General features: G+C 36.4%; 1 long non-coding RNA gene across 1 annotated transcript; it reads right to left on the bottom strand.

Moving 5' to 3' along the window:
- Positions 1-1,244: 1,244 nt before the first annotated feature.
- On the bottom strand, positions 1,245-12,406 carry LOC105377546 (uncharacterized). The gene is made up of 3 exons (XR_939486.3): positions 12,041-12,406; positions 2,066-2,141; positions 1,245-1,650 (listed from the first exon to the last, which is right to left on the bottom strand). It is a non-coding gene; the product is annotated as an uncharacterized LOC105377546 (long non-coding RNA).
- Positions 12,407-22,673: the final 10,267 nt, after the last annotated feature.

Below are 22,673 nucleotides of genomic sequence, written 5' to 3'. Positions count from 1 at the left end.
TGTTATGATCAATGTAAGGGATACAGCCCTTCTTTGCAATTTAAAGAAGTATATGATTTTAGTAATATAAAATTAGTTTCTTTACTTTCTCCCTAAATTAATATTGAACAAAGATGTTAAACAAAAATGTTAAGAAAGGAATTTGTGGTGTCCAAATAACCCGGGTTTAGCTATATTCCCTGTAGAGTAACTCACGCAGTAGTTAGAAGTGCAAAGGCTTTATCAGGAAGGCACTAAAAATGTTACATACCAATTTCTCATGTAACAGTCGCAAGACTTCTGTAAAGGAAGTGTATTTAAACCCCTTCAATCAATTCTTCTCCTGCTTAGGTTAAAGTTTAAAATCCTTATTGTCGTTTATCAGGTCCTCTATAATCCAGTGTCTGTCAAAATCACTGGTCTCAGAAAGGTTTTACTTTTTGGTTTACTTTTCGTTTTCATTCCCATATCTCCCTTTCAGAATACTTATCCCAATTTGGATTCTTTGCTGTTTATTGAATAAGGCCTGAGACCATAACTGTCATGATCACCGTTGTATCCCTAGAGCCTAGCCTGAAGAAATTCAATAAGGTGCTGAAATGTATCTATTTTAAGGATGAGATACTTGGAGCTCATGGTATAAGTGACTTATTCAAGGTTGCACAGTTAATAAGTAGAGTCAGGACCCAGCTCTTTCTGACTCCATGGACGCAGGACTTAATCACCACACCATGTAGATTTAGGATTGCCATACCCTTATTGTCTGCTCAGCTTAGGGTCTATCTCACTTGCTGCCTTGTAGTAATTTCCACGCAATTTCTGTCACACTATGCTATTAGGTATTTTTCTACGATCCTTTTTCCGTACAAGAATATTGACTCCTTTCCTTGAAGAGATAAGTCATGTTTGTAGTTATTGTTTTGTTTCTAGTTCATATATTGCTGAAATAGGTGTCTTGGACATTTTAGTTACTCAGCAAATATTTTACTGAATGCTGTATAGGAAGGAACAACTTACTGGGCAGGGAGGCAAGCCTATTAATTTAGAGGATGGAAATAATTCTTTTCATTAGTCACAAACCATAAGTATATATTAGGATTATGAAAAACTCTTTGCTATGCTTCATGAAAAAGGTCAAATAGCAATAGCAATAAGAGAGATTTAATCTATTTACTTGAAGAAAAAGGCCAAGGAAGTTTCTCCCCTTCGGGTGAGAAACGGAGAGCACTCACTATAAGCACTTTGAAAAACAGCGAAGTAGGAATTGTATCTGTTTCATCCTTTCGTTTTCCTTTTCAACACCTCTTTTCACTCGTCTCATTTATCCTGTAGAAATACCTATGTCTCATTTCCACAGAAATTCTGCAGTAAGAAGTGTTAGCTAGTAATAGTTTAAGAACACATCAAACTAGGCACAACACATGTTAGGATTGTGTGAATTTTCAAGGGAACTTGCAATTCCCAAAGGACTATAACCTTGTAATTAGGAAGATATATTTGTAAGGCCTCTAGGGCCAAAATTGTTTCTCATTCTTGATTTCCTGCACAGAACATAGCAGAAGACCTTGCATACAGGAAATGACCATTGCATGCTAAGCTGCAGAAGGCCTTCCACATTCATCCATCCTCTTCCTCTCACCTCCATCTCCTCTTCCCCTAGGATAATGAGGCCTGATTGGAGTCAAACACAAAGTGGACTTTTAGAAATATCAGTTGGGCAGCCATGACTTGCTTTAAATAGAAAAATAGAAGTAGAGATTAGAAATAATGCTAAATGAGAGTATTTTCTCTCACTTTCATTACCTTCTTCTCTTTTTTCTGCTCATGCTGTGACTGAAAAACAGAGCCAGGAGAGTGCTGTGCTAGGTGCCTACTAAGAAGGCCAAGAGGGAGACAAAAATGAAGCCGATGAAAAGCCTGGGCTAGTGGGAAAGAGAGGTTCTAGGGTCCATGCATGCTCTAGGCCAATCAATGCCAAGGCGAGTGATCAGCAGCCAGTGTGGGTAAAGCCTTGGCTAGTGACTAAGGGTAGTTGCATACACACAGACAGGCATTCACAAAACAACAATAACAACTGCAAACCAACCCTGGGCCCCCGCAGGAGTGGCTGTAGTTAGTATCAATCCTCGCTTGATGGGGATGGGTAGATCCTGGTCCCAGCCCTATTTTTTGAAATATGATTAACAATAAGACAAATCTATGTTCAAGTCTCCTCCTATTTTATTTCATATTTATCAAAGTCATGCAAGCACATAGTTTAAAAAATAAATTTTACATTGAAAAACTGATATCTCCTCTACTTTCCTCCTTACCTGTAGTCCTATCCTCCAAAGGTAACTACTTAAACATTGCTTTAAGCTGATTTTTCTGGCACTTATCTTTCCATTTCTAAATAATATGTTTCTGTTTTTTAAAAAAACATATTTTCAATATCATCATTTGACATTCTGCTATGGTAGATGAAGATTTAACTGTTTTCCACTTCCCACTTTCTTGTCCCATCCTTTCTCCTAATTTAAGAGATCACATTTTTGTTGTTGTTGAATCAGTAATCAGCATTTCCACTAGTGTGATCATTAAATATTGTTCCTCGGAGTGGCAGTGTATTATATTTCCTTTTTTAAGTATAACTTTTTGTTTTTTCTTGAATCAATAAAACCCAATTTTCCATTTGTATTGTTTCTTATGTTCTTTTCCTTAGTTTTTGCTCCCAAATGCTCCATTAATTCTCCACATAGCTACAAGTTTTATTTTCCCCAAAGCCCTATCACATCAGTGAATCTACCACTTCCCTACTTTTCCTGGAAAGGGTTCTTCTGGAGTCACTTGCAGCTTTCTAGGCTGCTGAACAGCTGCCCTCCCAAACTGAATTCTCTTCTGTTTGAACATCAAGTCTTCCTTTTTCTTCATTACTCTTTCATTTAGTTGGAGAAGAATCTTAGAAAAAATGCATAGGAGGTGAGATTTTTGATCTTCCAAACTGATTGACAATTTGATTGTTATTACTTTGAAAATAGATTTTCTTCAGAATTATTAAAGGAATTTCTCAACTGACTAACAGCAGATAGTATTTCTGGTTAAAAATAAAAAGGTCTAATGTTAATTTGCTTTTCATTTCTTTATAAATACCTGATTTTTTTCTGTGAAAGCTGTTATTTTTCTCTTTTTCCTCAATATTGCTAAATTTCACAATAATGTGTCTTACTGTGAGTCTTTACTCCTTGAACAAAACACTAGGTAGGTCTTTCAACGTGGAGACTGGGTTTTTTCCAGTTTTGGGAGATGTTCTTATGATTGTATTTGAACCTCCATTTTCTCTTTCTGGAACTCTCTTGTTTGTTATATGTTGGACTACTAGTTTTGACACTCTAAATCTCTCATCTTTTATCTTCTATTTTCTTCTCTTTATATTTTGTTCTTCTTTTGAGGAGATTTTCTTAAGATTATTGTTTAAACTTCCATTGAATTTTAACTTTGACTTTTTAATAGCAAAATTTTTAATTTTTGTTCTTTTAAAATAATAGCATTCAGGTCTAATTTATGAGCCATCTATCTTTTTTCTTAAACTCTCTGAGGGTTTTGGTATACATTTACAATGCTTTCTTCTCCCCCTCCCATTAGAGCTCCATTTCCTTTGGATTTTTTTCATGTTTGATGTTTATTTCTTTCAGTCTTTCTCTTTCATGTTAGAGACTTTCCTCAAATATCTGCTAATCCTGACCTATGTCTAAAAATGAAGTATTAAAACTCATTTAAGCAATATTCGAAACATACTGAATGCCTACCACTCAGGCATTATTCTGGGTTCTTAAAATTCATCAATGAAGAACTGATGGGGAATTCTGTTTGGCTGAAGAACAACTAAAAACCCCTGCATCCTTAAATGTCAATACATTTTCCTTCTGGAGCCAAGCAGCATCTTTAAATAACCCAACTATCTCCTTCCTTTTCAATAAGTAGACTTTCATCTAATCCCAGGCTTTACCTCCAACCCATACTACCTGTTGTTTCCAAATCCTAAAATCTTCCACTTCATTTTTCCAGACAAAAGATCTCCTATTTCCTGCCTCAGAGCAGGTAGTTCTTATCTGCATGGGTGGAGGAGGTAAGCTGAGGTCTGATTGCTCTCTGCATGTGCATCAAACCAATCTCCCAGTTCTCAGGACTTCCTTTTACCCCTCAACCTTCTCAGTACTTGAAACCTCCAAATCTAGGGCTTCTCAGGGAGGTCGAGTGGCTTAATTTACATTACTTCTCATTGATAAAGTATTTTGATGAATAACTTCCTCTGATTTGTCAAATCAATTAACAAAAACATTGTTGAAATATTTCTTCAGATATTTTCTTTTCCCCATCTCTTTATCCCTGTAGGGTTACTTATTTATTTTTTATTGACATTTTAGTGGGATTTCAGGAGGAAGAAGCAGGTTTACACATTTAGTTAAATCACCACCTTTAACTGGAAGGTTTGCTTCTTGAATTTAATATACTATTATATGTAATTATAGAGTGCTGCAGTAAAGATCTCAAATTTGTTCTCTCCTTCTTATATTCAAGTCTTTGTGTCATTCACCTCTACACTGACTCTCGGCATGACGGTGTGACTTGTTTGTCCAGTGGAGCAATTGTAAACAGGAGACAGAGATTTGAGACTTCTTGGAACGCTCTACTTTGTGAATAAGTCTGGGCTAGTTGGTTCCAGTCATCACAGCTCTCTCCATTGGAGACCATTTCATAAAGCATCAATCCCTACTCACCCAACCCACCACTTGACTGTAGACCATGAGTGAGCTCAAATGAATTCAGCTTTGCTGGCCCAGATGAGAACTGAGCCAAGCACATACTTCCAGTTTGTAGAATCATGAATAGGGGGTGGTTTATTACGCAGCAAAAGCTAAGAAATACAACTCATAATTGCTATCTTCTTTTTCTTAACATTTACTGCATGTTAACAATATGTTAGGCACTGTTTTAAGCAACTGACATGTCTTAACTCATTTAATCCTAACAAAAAATTTATGAGGTTTATAGTATCCTCAATTTAAAGATGAGAAAATTGGAAACATAGGAAAACAGTATGATATCATAGAAAGAGTAATGTCCTGGGAGGCAGGAACCTAGTGTTCTACACAGGCTTTGCCATTTATTTAAAGTGCAAATATGGAATACAAGATACTAATCTGCCTTATATTCCCATTACATGCACATATTCTTGACCCAGTTAGGCCACATCCATATTGACTCCCAAATACCTTTTCTAGTTAACAGTTGAGTAAGTACTTATATAGCACTTACTTGTCCCAGACACAATTTTGAGTGTTTTACATGTAACAACTTTACATATATTAGCATATATGCTTTACACACATTAATTTATTAAAACCTCACAGCAGCACTAGGTACTACTATTTCTCCCATTATGCACTTGAGAAAATTTAGATAAAGCCAGTTTCTGTGATGCGGGGGCAGGGTTTGAACCCAGGAAAGCTGACGCCAGAGTCCTCATTTTTATTACTCTGCAGGAGTGACTCAGATATGTGTGCTCCAATATTTATGCATGTGTGTGAGCCATATCCCTCTCAAGTCTCTGCCGTCCTTCCTACCAACCATGTCCTGCTCATTTTCTAAGACCTACTCTCTTCATAAACCCAAATATGAACATGTCTACTCACACTAATTTCCTTATTCCTCAAACATTTATAATCTGCAGCATACATTTTATTACTGGGTCATATAATTGTTTTGTTTTCTAGTTGTTGTGTTTTAAAAAATACATAAATCTGTCCTCCCTAATGAGAGTAAATCCCCAGAGATAAAAACTCCTCAGGAATCCTTATCAAAATGCTAAGTACATAGGAGTCACTTTATAAAAATCTGCTGACTTGAGTCTAACTCGAGCATTTACTGGATTAATATCATGGCTCAGTATTTGGAACATTCCAAACTCATAAGCTCTACTTGACAAAAGTGCCTTGTTACTTCAAACCCTGCTGTAACTGATTTGTCATTATCACACACTGTGCACAGCCTGGAAGTAGCAGAGAAGAGTAAATGACTCTGAACACTGGTTTGAAATAAACAAGGGTGACCTAGATAAGCAAACATCACTTTATAAGCTAAGTCTTTCTGGGAAAAGAGAAGGTGATTCTCCATTGTTCCAATCTGATCAGGTTATAGATAGTTGGATGTTTACTGGGGGGTTTTACAGCTTGACTTAACCTTTTGTTAAACTCCTTCTGGACCAGTGTTATGTATGCTGTAAATATGTATTCTTTATTATCATTAGCAGTAACTGAACACCTCCAAGGCATGCATAGAACTCTCTTTTTGAAATGTATTTAAAATATTTTTCAGCCAACCATTCAATGGAAACATTTATTAAATATTCACTTTGAATGTAGCAGTGTCGAAAAATCTGTGGTAAAATGATGCAAGGAATAATAGCATACTCTCCCTCTGAAAGACCATAAAGTTGAATTTATTTATATTTTATGTTTTTTAAAGTATGGTTTTGAGTCAAAACACTTTTTGAAAAGTTAATGCAAAACATCTTTGTTTCTTAAACAAAATACAAAAAGCTGGCCACTGTTCCTGTGCCTGATTTTATCTTTTATGTATGTATATATATGCGTATATGTGTGTGTGTGTGTGTCTGTCGGTCTTTCGGTCTATATGTAATGATATAGAATTATCTAATATCTGAAAATAACCCACATGAATTTTCATAAAGCAGTTATACATATTTATGTCTTTTGAAATATTGCTTAACACATGTACCTGAAAACCAGAGAAGATTTGAGGCAGTCATTTTGGTTCCTTTGGTAAATATTTTTTCTGATTTACAGTTTTTCATGTATGGAAGGATTTGGGCTGGGAAATTATACGATGAGCAAACGATTGCTTTGAAACATCGGTGAAGAATCAGATAACACACTTTCAATTGGATAATTCAATGTGATAGTGCTGAAGGAACATCTTGCTTCTTAGGCTTACCTAAATCTATATGTAATAAATCCTATATTTTTAAATTTATTGCAAAGCATAAACTGCTTTCCCATATATGATCTCATTTTGATTTTGGCCCCAATGCACAGAAATATATTTCTATTATGAATGTATTTCTCTTATAAATATACTAGAAATGTATATCAACTCAAGATAAAGCAATATATTCATATATCAACAGTCTCATCTGGTAAGATATAACAAACAGAAGCATAGTATTTTAAAATTGTTTTTCACTTGGCATTAGAGGTTTGAGGTATCATAAGGCTTAATCAGTCCCTGAGGTTTAGTGAGTCTCCTTTATTTTTCAACAGAAAAGAATTATAATTTTTAAAGAAATATTTGGTTTTCTCTGTGGTCTAAAAAAGGCAGCCTTCCTCTCTTATCTAGAATGACACTGCCTGTACTAAATGCCACATCAACATTTGGGTTTGCTAATCACAATGGGACCCAGCAAAAAAAGGTGGATCCCCGGTTACCCGCAATCACATCTGGAAAACCCTTCTAGAGGACGTCCTCCCATGGGGGATAATCATCTGCATATCTATCACTATAGTCATCAATAATCATGATCAGCTTAGTTTTCAGAAACCTTCTGAGAAAAGGTGCAGCAGACCTCTAAGCTAAGTTCACAAAATTACACCATAATTTGAAACATTCAAGCTCTAACATCAAACATTAAAGGCATAAGCAATCAGTAATAAAAAATTAAAGAAAAGATTTCCTGACCTGGATAGGGGTATATACAAACTAAGATTTTAAAGTCAGGCACGATATATAGTAAACTGCTTAAAAAGAAACAGGAAGTGCAAACAATTCCTAATTCTGAATCTGTCACATTGGTGAAGGAGACCTGGAATTTCATGCATTATAAAAACGTTTTTCAGCTTAGTTGTTGACACAGGTCTATAAGGCCAGACTTTTACCAACACTGTTTCTTTATAGCTTCCTGATATGCCGTAATACAAATGTTCAAGCAAATTATAAGTGGAAACAGACACAGTTACTCCAGTTACAAACTTATTTTTGGAAATTACAGATCATATTATGCTGCAGTCTCTGCATTCATTGATTTGGCACACAAATCTTTACAGATGAGTTCTTTCCCTTTGGGATTATGTGCTTTATGAACTATAGTGAACATTTATAGTGAAGTGAACAAAATATTAGGGAGTTGAAAGTTGAGGTTTGTTTTCGTCTTGTCTGATGAGCCCTTTTTGTCATTATTTAAGGGATGCAAAGACCATTAGAGAAAGCTAATAGCCTTCACAGCCCTCAGATTATACTGATAACCACTGATGGGAGAGTTAAGCCAAATTGCATTCTCAAAATGGTTCTGGGAACCTATCACTTCCAGTAATGGTCCTATCAACCAGACCTAAAAGCAGAAGGGCAAGATGCACTTAAAGGCAATTATCCATCAACATTGGAAAATATGCTTAGTTGATTAAGAGAGTTGAGTATATGCAATATATCTTGATTGCAGAAAAGCAGTTGATATAGCATTATTCAATTTACCAGCTAAATTAATTTAAATTGGTTTAGGCAGAAGTATAGTCAAATGAACTATCAGCTATCCAGAGGGCCATAAATAATAGATAACAATAAACACATTTGTTTTACATGCTGCTAATTTAGTTATTTCTCCCCAGAACTCTCCTTCAGATCAGAATATGACAGTTATATATTATATGCCACCCTCTGGCTATGATTTCTTAAGATCTTTTTTGGAATTACATCTGTTCTATAAAGTTACAAAGACCAATTATGGACCATTAACAACTCCTATTTTTTCAGGGCTTACTTTATTTATCCATATTCAGTTTTCAGCTCCCTATTATATTCTGTTTGATTCTGGATTTTATCCTAATGTAAAATGTCATGAGCAGAAGCAAAGGGCAGTGAAAGTAGCCTTTGCCTCCATACTCAAAAAGTTACTGACTTTGAATTCTCCTGGGTGCTGTGGTGAAGATGGCAATGACCAGGAAGTCTGGTACAGGCAGAGTTTTCCTTCTCTCTTTGCAATGTCCATCTTAACCAGAGAGTGGATTTTCTTGAACCTGGGATGACCTAACCAAAGGTAAGATGACCAGGTGGAGTTTCCACGTGGTAATTTAATCCTTGAAAATTCAGAGCATGTTGTCCAACAATGATATGAAAAAGAACTTAACATCACTGATTATTAGAGAAATGCAAATCAAAACGACAATGAGATACTGCCTCACACTGGTCAGAATGGCTATTATGAAAAGGTCAAAAAATAACAGATGCTGGTGAGGTTGTAAGGAAAAAGGAATGCTTATACACTATTGGTGGGAGTGTAAATTAGTTCAACTATTCTAGAAGACAGTGTGGCTTTTTCTCAGAGACCTAAAGAAAAAAATACAATTCGACCCAGCAGTCCTGTTGCAGAGTGTATACCCAAAGAAATAGAAATCATTCTATTATAAAGACACATACATGTGTATGTTCACTGCAACACTATTCACAATACCAAAGACATGGAATCAATCTAAATTCCCAATGGTGAGAGACTGGATAAAGGAAATGTGGGACATATACACATGGAATATTATGCAGTCATTAAAAAAAGAATGAGATCATGTCTTTTGCAGGGATATGGAAGGAGCTGGAGGCCATTATGCTTAGAAAACTAATGCATTAACAAAACCCCAAATACCACATGTTTTCACTTATGAGCGGGAGCTAAAGGATGAGAACACATTGACGTATACAAGGTAACAACACACACTGGGGCCTACTGGAGGGTGGCAGGTGGGACAAGAGAGAGGATTAGAAAAAATAACAACTGAGTACTAGGCTTAAAACCTGGATGATGAAATAGTCTCTATAACAAACCCCCGTGACACAAGTTTACCTATGTAACAAACCTTCACATGTACCCCTGAATTAAAAGTTAAAAAAAAGAATTGAGTTTCTTTCCCTTAAAAAAAGAAAATTTGGAACATGCGATTAAGACATACATTTGGAGGTTACATAACCTTATTAAACAAAGGAGAAAATGTAAGAGTCAAGAAGCAATCTCTTCCCCCTGTCTTAAAGAGACAAACCACTTTGTGGTCTACATGGTCTTTATGATATTTTCTAGGACCATGATTGTCAGCTTAGTGATGGTGGCTGTGATGATCCAGGGAAGGGCTGGGAAGAGAAAATACAGGCATCTGAGAGAACTTTTCTGTACCTTAGGAGTACCCTTTGGGGCTGGCGCTTTTTCTAAAAATATTGAATCAATGCTGATTATATCAGAAGGAAGAAAAATCTTTTTTCCCATAATGTAAACTATAGAAAGTAAAACTTGAAAAAATTGTTTTGGGTGTAAATATACAAAATGCAGTGGTTCTCAATATAGACATGTCTCCCATGGCAGAGTGGGAGAGTAGAGATGAGGGGGTTGTGAGAGAAACATAAGAATCCCTGGGCAGTGGGAGGCAGGGCAAGTGTGAGGCTGGGAAACACTGTTGCAGGTACTGCTGCCTCAATTTCCTCACCCGTGCTGAAGCGAGGTCATGCTCGATCTCTATCATATCCCTCCTTTTCTTTTTTATGCTTGTGTCACACAATTGGTTGCCTTCGGAACGTAATACAATAACGTTCTTATATGTTTTGGAATGTTGGAATATCCCCATTAGAGGTCTGAATATCAAACGTACTGTTTCCTTCACCATATGATTTGAAATGGATATGATACAAGATAGGAAAGACAACAAGAACAACAACAACAACAAAGAGGCTACTTGATTCTTCTCTACTCGAGAGGAGAATAATATATTTTTAAAAATATGGCAGAAAGCTTGAGAAAGAGAAACTATTGTGGTTGAGTTTTCAATGTAGCCAAGAAAGAGTAAGCACAGCACAGAAGAAAAATTTGATTTTCTCATTAACTATTGATGTGGTTTTAGGCAAATTACTTAATACAACGCCAAGACCCTACTTTACAGAATTGTCATGAATATAAAGTAAAATAATTTATAGAAAATGCTTTGTTTAATAACTGCATATAACAAGCATTCCAGCTTTATGATTATTATTTTTATTAGATCTAATTTCTTTGGAGCCAAGGCAAAAAATGAGACTAGGCTGTTACCTCATTTTTTTTCCAATTATAGCATGGCAGACAAATAAAAATATGTACTTTTAATTAGTACTGAACTTTAAGAAGAATTTATTGTACAGATCTTTTGAAAAAATATAATAATCTACATAATAAATAGTATTGAAAATAACAGCTTTTCAAAACATATATAAAAATTAACTTTATAAGAATATTTTGAAAATCAGCCTAGCAAGGAGTTGAATTAAAAGTGTTTGAATACATTGTTTTCTATTAATAATATATAATAGCAGGAAAGCCTAGAAAATCTTGAGGAAAGAATAATTTACATTTTAGTTAGTGTGTGTCTCTGATTATTAACTGGCTAACTGGGCTGTGTTTATGTGTGTTCCTTTAAAATTTTGCTTTTAGGTCATGAAAATAAGGCATATTTATTTTAAAAATCTGAAAACACATAAAGCATAAAAATGATAAAATTAATTCTAATATTCATAATTTTGTTACTTTTTCTGCGTATTATTGCCTTGACTTACAATGCTTTTATTTTTATTGTTGCATTTTAAATTTATCATGTATTTTTAACGTTTGGACTTCCTTGCTTTCACTTTCTAAAATAAGTTATTTTGTTCAGGATCTTACCTGATGAATGTTTTTCATGTTTAGTTAGAAGTTTGGTCCCCTAATTCTTGTTCTTAATCTATAATCTATTATACTGCACTTTTTAAGTGTCTATTGAATATTTTAAATGTATTAACATTTTCTGTCACCTCCCTCAATACCTTAATGTTTTTATTTTTGTTTTCATTTTCTCGACTTAAACTCCCTTTTCTTCCGGTTGATTTTTCTCTGTTTGCCTCTCCAAATTCATTCTCTGATGTTTTCTGCCCCATTTTGTGCCCCAAGAGGCATTGGAAGGAAATTGAAGTGGGCAGTGAAAGAGGTCAAGGAGATGTCCCTCTCTGTCTGACCATGTGGTTTCTTTACCTTAGGTTGGAGTTCCATTTGGTAGCCCCTCTTCCATGGCTGTGGCCCTTGCCCGTTCTGGCAACACAGTTTGATAAGAGAGGATGACAGCAGTAGAGAAAGCCCACATCACGAACAGGAGGTTGAAGGACCTTTTCCTTGGTTCTCTCTATAACCTTCTATCCAATCTCCTCGATCAATCTACAGCCACTTTAAAAATTATTTCTCTAAAAAAACTAACCTTGGAATACTCAGGGGCCCAGAGGTTAATGCTCTAGAGGCAACTTATTTTCTTTATGTAAGTTCTATACTTTCCTAACACTATGTATCTCCTGTACTGTCCAAATATCTTTATATTTGCCACTGCTTGTTTTAATAGCTGTGGTCTCTGATACAAGGGACCCGTGCTTTTTATAAGCTGTAGCAATGTGTTACAAACAAGCACACCCTGACATGAACTTTATCCTTAGAACTATAATCTCCAGTGATGCAGGAGGTAGACTGGACAGGGAGTGGCACTTGACATTCCAAGATAGGAACTCAGTTGCAGGAACAGCTGAGCCTGGGAGAGCTGAGAGCGGCTCATGTGGGGATTATGGATTTTGTGATTTGCTGATTCTGGCAAGAGAAGATGTGACGCTGTTTCAGAGTAACCAGAGTGAGCTCTACCACTCACAGTAAGATGACCAGGAGATTCCTACACAAGCCAGCTGAGTCACATGGTAAGAGGGCTATAAGCCTTCAGATAATTGATTACGGGATGCATACATCAAACAGCACTGAAGTAAAAGGAATCAAAGAGAATCCACCCACAACTGGAGAGATTTATTTTTCTTCAAGAATGCATTACAGCAAAATAGAAAAAAAACCTCCCTGGAGATTATTAAACATTTCTCTAGTAGAACAGTGGAAAATACAGTACTCAAGGCAGAGAGGAATAGGACACACTTATAGGAAAGATTGACTAAAGGAATCAGAACTAAATATTTAAAGAATCTGTGTTGTGTTCTCAACAGTCAGCGAAAAATAATTATTGGAAATATAAGACAACGTGTTGAGTAACAATTCTTTTTGTTCCAAGTAGCCAAAAACAGGGTTGACAGGCAGAAAGAATGTTGGATAGCTCGTTGACATAAGGTCTGTGATGGCTCTGAGCAGCCAGGATGACCTGGCTGAAAACAATGGAGGCTCTCCCTTCCCTCTGCTATCTGCTCCTCTGGGTGCACCTGTTCCACTCCACATTCTCATTACAGACTGGTCCATATGGCATTAAAAGGGCTACCAGAAGATTCAGGCTTAACATTTTACAAGTCCACATACCCAGGGAGAGCCTGACTGCTGACTCTTTCTCTTACTTTCAAGGTTAAAGGGGACTGTTTTTCTTCCACCTTGGATCTGGCACAACCCAACCAACAACCCATAACGCAATCCCACGAAGGAGTAGGCAATTCATGGAAAAGAGTGCTGGTCCCACGGTACAGTAGTGTCCACTGTAGGTCCTAGGAAAGGGCACTGAAGTGGGAGGCAGACTTGGTTGAAAAGATGGAAGGGTATCGGGAAAGAATATTAAAGAAATTGCAGCACTGAAATCAATTTTAGAAACAGTTCAGGACAGAATCAATACTTAGAAAAAAATAGTTATGATATAGATGTGAATTTACTCCGAGTGAATTAGAATAGAGAAAAAGAAATAAAATGTAAGAGCAAAACGCTTTAACAATTTGCACCCACTTTAAGATAGTTAAGTTACACATACTTTTGTTTTCCTGAGTTCTTCCTTGCTAGTTTCCCTTAGCTGTATGTATTAGAACTCCTTGAGTTAAATAATTAGCTGATTTATTTCATTCTTTCCTGTTTAATATTCAAAATATTTCAGGCTGTTAATTTGCTTATACTTATAGATTTAACCTCATACCATAAATTTTGATAAGCAATATTCTCATTTGTTTTTTTTCCTGATAATATGTAATTTCAGATGAGGACACATTTCAAATTTCAAAACTTCTATTTGAAAATACTTATTAGCTTCTTTGTATATTAAATTCTAGACAAAGACAGTGACTTGTACAAGATCCTACTTTTGAAATTTAATATTCATTAGTCTTAATATATGAACTATACATATTAATTCCAAGCATATGCCATGTTTGTATGAGAAAAACATAGACATATTTTACCTTGTCTTATTATTTAAATTCTCTGAGCTTTATTTTTAATTTGCTTAGGTTTACAGAAAGTGTTGGCCTTTATTTGCTAAACTCATCAAAGGCTGAAAAGTTCTTTGAAACATATCTGTAATAATTCTAATTCTATTTTTCTCTATAGAACCTAATGCAGTTATTTGGCTCATAGAGGTTCATGACTGTTATTTTTCATGGTGAATATTATCTCAGAGTTATTATGAAGATTAAATAAGACAATACTTGCAAAGCACTTATTCAGTAATTGGCATATGGTAAATGTACTATAAATGTTAACTATTACTATTGTTTCCTAAATCAGTAATTTCTGCTTTTATCTTTATTAATTTCCAGCTCCTGCATTTTTCTTGTTTATTAAATAGAATGGATATTCCATTTGTTTTAAATCTTTCTTATTTAATAGTGAAATACTTTAAAGCTGTGAATTTTCATTAAGCCGTATCCTATAGGCTTTGATATAGAATATTCTTATTCTTATTGATCTTTAAATAGCTTAGAAATTTTCAGTTTTATTTTATTTTAGTCCTAGGATGTGGCCACAAAATATGCATTCTTGGAACCTAGTTACATTTTCTCTGTGATCAAATGTATATAATTTTAAAAACGTATTCCTGGACATAAGGAAAAATGACTATTCTCAGTTTTTACTCTGTTCACAGTTCCTATATCAATTTATGTTATTTATAGTCTATGTTTTTGTATTTTTTTCTACTTAATTACTCAATTTCTGTGAGGTAAGTTTTAAGTTCTCTCCCTCATCCCTGAATTATATCTTGGCTGCCTGTAAGATCCTTGGATCTTTTCCTCTTAGAAAACTATAAATGTTGTTTTACTCTGTTCCAGCTTCATGAGTTGCAGAGAGAAAATTTCTCCCTATTCTGGTCTGTTATTGGTAAGCTTTCCTCTCTATTTGGAAGCTTTCAAGGTTTGCTCTTTTATTTTGGAGGGCAGCAAATTTTCCAGGTTATATAGTATGTCTTTTGGAGACCTGGCAATTAAGAGCGTTTAATCTGAAAACTCAACTCAGAAATATTCTCTTATTCTTTGTTTCTCTTCTTCATATGTTTATCTGTTTCTGAAACTCTTATTACTGGAATATTTGATCTCCTGGCTCTATATTCTATTATCCTTTGTTTTCCTCCTAACTACTGCTCTGTTATTTTTACAATTTTAGGATAATTTCCAGTTCATTTCCTACATGATTGATGAGGTTTTTATCAGCATCTAGTCTATTTTTACTACCTTTATTGAATGTTAAAATTAAACACATCATGGTACATACACACCATGGAATACTACACAGCCATAAAAAAGAATGAAATCATGTTCTTTGCAGCAGCACAGGTGCAGCTGGAGGCCATTATCCGGCGTGAACTGATGCAGGAACAGAAAACCAAATGCTGCATGTTTTCAGTTATAAGTGAGAACTAAACATTGTGTAGTTGTGGACACGAAGATGACAACAATAGACACTGGTGACTACTGAGCAGGGAGGGAAGAGGGTAAGGGTTGAAAAACTATTGGGTACTATGCTCACTACCTGGGTGATGGGATCATTTGTATCCTAAATCTCAGCATCATGCAATATACCCATATAACAAACCTGCACGTGTATCCTCTGAATCTAAAATAAGAGTTGAAATTATTAAAAAGAATTAAACACATTATAATTCTTACTAGCAAGAATGCTTTATTATCCCAAGATGACTTCTCTGTTTTTGTAGGATTTTCCCCTTAGATCTCACTGAATTATTTTAGTTCTCTCACTGAATTATTTTAGTTCTTTTCTGTTGCTATCACTACATTTCACAATTTTTTTCCATTTCAATGGGATCTTTTCTGATGACTTCAACTTCATCTCCATCCTTAAAACTATGGATTTTTTTTTTTTTTTTGAGATAGAGTTTCACTCTGTCCTCCAGGCTGGAGTGCAGTGGCACAATCTCAGCTCACTGCAACCTCCGCCACCTGGGTTCAAGCGATTCTCCAGTCTCAGCCTTCCATGCATCTGGGTTTACAGGCACGCACTACCATGCTCGGCTGATTTTTGTAGTTTTTATAGAGGTGGGGTTTGGCCATGTTGTCCAGGCTGATCTCAAACTCCTGGGCTCAAGTGATCCGCCCAACTCTGCCTCCCAAAGTGCTGGGATTACAGGCGTGAGCCACTGCACCTGGCCAAAACTACAGATCCATCTTGGTGGGGTGCTCTGTATCCTGCCTACAAGCCGAGCACTTTGAGAGGCTGAGGCAGCAGATCACCTGCGGTTAGGAGTTCAAGACCAGCCTGGCCAACATGGTGGAAACCTGTTTCTACTAAAAATACAAAAATTAGCTGGGTGTGGTGGCATGAGCCTGTAATCCCAGCTACTCAGGAGGCTGAGGTGGGTGAATGGTTTGAACCAGGGAGGCAGAGGTTGCAGTGAGCCAAGGTAGTGTCACTGCACTCCAGCCTGGAAAACAGAGTGAGACTCTGTCTCAAAAACAAAACAAAACAAAACAAAAACAAAACAAAACAAAACAAAAACAAACATATAGATCAATCATAAATGTTAGTAATTTTCATTTTCCATTTATCATTGGTACATAACAGATCTCTGAGGAACATCACAGTTACTTATTTCCCCTGAGCCCATTTAGCTTTGTCTGGTAGTGGAGGGTGAGTGGAGGGGGGAATGTAAGTAACAAATCTATTTCCTAATAGGAGGGCAGCATGTAGAGAGCCAATGGGTTGAGGCAAGTCTCTGGAAATTTCAGTTTTAGAGGGTGATTTTCTTCTTCCTGGTTTTTCAAGAACGCAGCAGTCCAGTTCAGTATGAAAGAGTTATCCAAAAGCAGTCAGCATCAGCAGCATGAGAAAGTTTCTCCCTTCGTTTAGCCTGGCAAGTGAGCAGGACACCAGGAGAAATAATTATTGATTATAATAAATATTATTATTTATTGACCATAATATATATTGGATTGCTCAACATAGCTTCAAGAGTCCATTGGTTTAGTTGTTTTCCCCAACAGGCTTTACCAAAAAGGCAGACTGCGACCTCACTTTGGACCTCTCTACAAACTGTGGTGTGCAGCAGGTGAGTCTGATGAACCCTTCCCTGCCTGTTCCACATCACAGAAACCACAACCTGCAGACTGCAGTATTAGGTCAAGCTTTGTCCTTCACATTAACCATCAGACAGATGGGTGCATTACCTCAGTAGACATCAAGAGCACTGTGTATTCCTGTTCCTCCCATCCCACATCATAAGACAATGAAGAACTATAAGGATGATATGGTTGCTTTATAATAAACTAAGACTAGCCTCAAAAGATAACTGGCCCTGCTAGCATATTTCTTTATGAAAGAAAACTTCTGGATCAACTCTTTCAAAACCAGAGTCATAATTTTTCTTCAATGGCCCCTAACATTTAACTGGCCTATTGCTAGCATCTCTAAGAAACTATTTAGCACACAGTCTTGATGATGTTGGCAAGGCAAATGCAAGGTGACCGAGACGCTGTTTTCAGGAAAAGGAAGATGTTCTCCTGGACTGTAGAATGGGGATCTGGAATTTGGAGGTTCTGTTATCTAGCAATACATTTTACAACCAATTTATTTTGAAGGATTTAATGGAAAGTTATATTTCAATAGGTGGTTTATGGGTCTTATGGAAAAAAAATCTTTATAGTCACAGTGAGCCCAAATGTTCATTAATACCTCATCTATGGCTTGCCACTGGAGTTTGGTTGCTTTCCTCAGGAGGCCAAAGCTCCCTTATAACAGCTAAGACTCACTGCAAAAACAAACAAAGAACAACTGAGATCTTTCACTTTACTTTCTGAAAAGATGTGAGGCTGGCCTGTTAGACTCCAAAAGGAGTTGAGCCATAAGATGACCCAGCTGTTGCCAGTCTTCCTTGAATGTTATATATCGCCTCCCTCATACTCCACATGCACCACCAAAGTTCTAAGACCTGCCTGGCTTCTGCCCTTAGTGGTTATGAACTTTCCTCATTTTACAATGATTGTAAGTGCTTATCTATGTAACTGTTGTCTGTTGGCAGGTGGACACTTCTGCCCACCTAAGATGACTAGTTCTAGTCTTTGCAATAGGGCAAATCCGTGGCACACAGATAGCTTGGTGGTGAGTTTCAGCCTTCTCCATGAAGGGGAGTTAACAACAACTATGGCACCACACGGATACCATCTTTAAACCTACTTCCCAGTACTCAATCCATAGCCACCTCCCCAATTCCTCCTCATTAACAAGCAATGACGAGGAAGATACCATTTATTGCCAAGTTAACCATACAATTTGGTCAACATGTTCACTACGGATTCCCACGGACATCCTTCAATTCCTACTAATAAGCCTGAGAAACCTTCGTCTTCATTTTTCTAGAAAGTCATGTCTGTCAGGTCATTCCTGTTGCCAAAGCTATCAAGAACTGTGAAGGATATGAGACTTGACTTGACTTGTAAGCTAACAAGTTTGCCTACCACAGTTTCATGGAAGCTGGAAAAATACAAAATTTTGTGGTGTTGGAAACCAAAGACTTCATTAGAGCTATAGCAGTAGTCAGAAAATGCTCTGGTTTCCTGAGCTCTGAGTCCCACAGTGTTACTTGAAGAGTGTCAGGTAATGACTATAACATGCAGGGTGTTTTGTTACAGGAGAGGAACACTTGCTCTAGAAGAGGACAGTATCTCTTCCTCTGTCTGTCACCCAAGTTGTTCACTATACAAACATCCTTAGAACAGATAACTGCAACACAAGCAGCATGTCCTTCTGCTTGTAAGGTGTATAGAAATGCAAAAGAATCACAGTAAATTTTCTCCCACAAAGGAATTGATCAAGAAGGGTTGTAGGATTCAAAAGGACACTTTGTGGTCTTTTTAAACGTAAGTCACTTCTCTGCTCCAACAACTAGCTGTCACACTTAGAATAAAATCCAAATTCCTTACTGTGGCCCACGAGAACCACCATGACCTGGCCCTGGCTATCTCTTGGGCCTCATCTTTCTGAATTCCAGCACACTGGCTTCCTTGCAATTCTTGAACACCAAAGCACTTCTCCATCTTGACATCTGCTGTTATGGGGTACAGGACTTCCCCTTTTCCTTCACTCAAGTCGCAGCTCAAATGTGACTTCCTTGGAGTGGAATTACTTGAATACTCCCACATATGTACCAGTTGTTTAATCTCTCCTGCGTTATTTTTTTTTTTTAGCACACTTACCACTTCCTGCCAAAGCTATGTCTATTAGCATATTTCTTTATTGTCATTTCTCCCTTTAGACTAAGTCCTCTCTGAAGCTAGAGAGACAGTCTAATATGTTCCCAGCCTTAGGTCAAAGCCTGCCTGTTACTCGTCAGTCTCTCAATTAGTATTTGTTGAATGAAATATGATGATGTCAGTTGCTTCTTTAGTTATTAAAGGGACTATTCATTTGCTTGCTATTCATAAACAAGCATGTAGTGAATCGGGCTCTGACATACCCCGAAATGAAGTTATTTACCAAGATTGATTCCTTATAAAAAATGATACTTTCAGTACTATACTATACTATAGTTTTTGTCTTGAAATCTGTTTATCTGATATAAGTATAGCTATTCTGGCTCTTTTTTGTTTTCCATTTGCATGGAATATCTTTATTCATCCCTTTATGTGTGTCTACGTGTGTTTTTAGTCTATGTCTTTATAGGTGAAGTGTGCCTCTTGTAGGCAACAGACAGTTGGTAGAAAGCCGTCTTGACCCTCTTATGTTTTAAAACTTTTAAAATAAAATTCAGCCCAGGAAATGTGTTATCTTTCACTTCCAAGGCTAAGGAAAGTGTCCTCTGTTGCTTTAATTTTTTGTTATAACAACAACAACAAAAATAACAGCAGAAGAAATATGTTTTCTTTAGTAGTGTTTTAGGGTGGATGGGCAAGCCTCATTTCATTGGGGCCATGGTCTTGATGATATTATTTTTACATGTCCTCACCACTCTATTCCATCTATCCTTTGCTACATGTCTCATTGTTTAACTTTTATGCTTATATTTAAAAATTTTGAGGTCATAAATGATCACACATTGTAATCCTACCTTATGTGTACTTCCCTTTTTATTCTGCGTCACCTAGAATTGCACTGATGAGATCTTCATGGCTTCTAAAATGTTTTAGACTCTCTTCCAGAAATTCATGTTTTGATATCAAGTCTATTTTCTTCTCTGAATTCTTTTGGAACTCTGCTTTCCTAAAACTTTGGATACCGTATGAGTCTGTTCTGGCTGTCGCAACAAAATATCATGACTAAGTGGCTTAAAGGTTAGAAATTTATTTCTTACAGTTCTGGAGGTTGGGACTTACAACATTAATGGATCTTGGCATCTGAAGAAGGCCTGTTTCTTTTTCCTAGATATGCCTTCTAGCTGAGTTCGCAAATGATGGAATGGGAGAGCTAGCTCTCTGGGGTCTCTTGTATATGGGCACTAATCTCAGCCATGAGGCTCTGCTCTCATGACCTAATCATCTCTCAAAGGCCCTACCTCTCAATACCATCATCTTGAGTGTCAGGATTTTAATGTATGAATTTTAGGGGAACTCAAACATTCAGACCATAGCAGACACCAAGTTTAACTACCTTCACATTTTCACTTACTGGCTATCAAACACTCTAAGATAACCTTATTGTTTTTATTTTTCAGAGATTTTAACATTTCCTTTTTGATAACCAGGCAAGTTTTGTTGTTGGTAAGAATAAGTCCAAAATTTTATTTCTGTTGGTTTTGTGTTCTAATTTCCCAGATATATAATTGATATCAAGAGAAACTTAGCCTAGTTCACACATCTGCCTATATCCAAGGCTACACTGGATGTGGACTCCAGGTAGGCCAATATTTGGGTATCCCTCAGACTAACATTTGCTGAATATTTGTCCAATATTTGTTTAGTGGAAGGGGAAATAAACCAAGTTTTGTTAATTAAAATTTTCAGATGTTTATATTCAAAATAATGTATTTATATTTATTACACATACGGTCTATAGATGCTTTGTTTTCTAAAAACTTTTAATTTGGAAATAATTCAAACTTCAAGAAAAGTTGCAAGAGAAAGAATCATATACAGAATGCTTATTTAGTCTTTACCCACATTTACTCATTCTTAACACTTAGCCTTATTTGCTTTTACTTTATCATTTGCTTACTACCTACCTACCTAAATACCTACCCACCTATCTAATCTATCTAATCTACCTATCTAATCCATCCATCTTTCTATTTACATATTTTTTCTGAACTATTTGAGAGTAAATTTCATACATTATGACCCTTTACCCCTAATACTTCAGAGCATATTTTTTAAGAATAAAAATATCCTTTTAAGAATAGGGATATTTATTTACATAACCATGTATATTTATCAACTTCAATACATTTAACTTTAATCTCTCATCTATATTCCAATTCCATCAATTGATCTAATTATGTTCTATATAACGTTATCTTTGTTCTAGTTTGGGATCCACTCTAGGATCTGGATGGCATGTAGTTGTCATATTCCTTTAACATCTTTAAATTGGAACATTTCCACATTGTTTTTTTGTCCTTTATGACATCGACAGTTTTGAAAACTAGTCCCTCAGTTTTATTTGTTTGTTTGTTTGTTTTTAATGGAGCTCTCTGGCCAGGTGTGGTGGCTCACACCTGTAATCCCAGCAATTTGGGAGGCTGAAGTGGGCAGATAGCTGGAGCTCAGCAGTTTGAGACCAGCCAGGGCAGCGTGGCAAGACCCTGTCTTTATAAAAAAAAAAAAAAATACAAAAATTAGGTAGGCATGCTGGCAGCCATCTGTGGTCCCTGCCACTAGGGAGGCTAAATGGGAGAATTGCTGGAACCTGTGAGGTCGAAGCTACAGTGAACCGAGATTGCGGCACTGCACTCCAGCCTGGGCGAGAGTGAGACTGTTTCAAAAGAAAGAAAGAAAGAAAAAGAAAGAAAGAAAGAGAGAGAGAGAGAAAGAAGGAAGGAAGGAAGGAAGGAAGGAAGGAAGGAAGGAAGGAAGGAAGGAAGGGAGAGAGAAAGAAAGAAAGAAAGAAAAGAAAAGAAAAAAGAAAGATTGAGAGTGAGACTGTCTCAAAAGAAAGAAAGAAAGAGAAGAAAAGAAAGATTGAGAGTGAGACTGTCTCAAAAGAAAGAAAGAAAGAAAGAAAAGAAAGATTGAGAACTCCTCATTTTGTACCTGTCTAATGTTTCTTCATTATTTAACTGAAGTTAGAGAAGCCTCAGTCAGAATACTGCGTAGAAGCCATATTCCTCTCAGGGCATCATGTCCATCTGCCTCCCATTGATACTGTTAACTTTTATCATCCGATCAGGGTGTTGCCTGCCCTCTCCATTGTATAGCTATTACTTTTTCTCCTTTCAAGAAGTAGAAATTTATAAGTCACACTTTCAAGTCCATGCAAATATCCTGCTCTTTATCAAATT

The sequence above is a fragment of the Homo sapiens genome, chromosome 4 (genome assembly GCF_000001405.40).
Source record: "Homo sapiens chromosome 4, GRCh38.p14 Primary Assembly".
Classification (NCBI taxonomy): Eukaryota; Metazoa; Chordata; class Mammalia; order Primates; family Hominidae; genus Homo; species Homo sapiens.
Note: the sequence above shows the minus strand (reverse complement) of the source record. Positions and strands in the feature narration are given on the sequence as shown.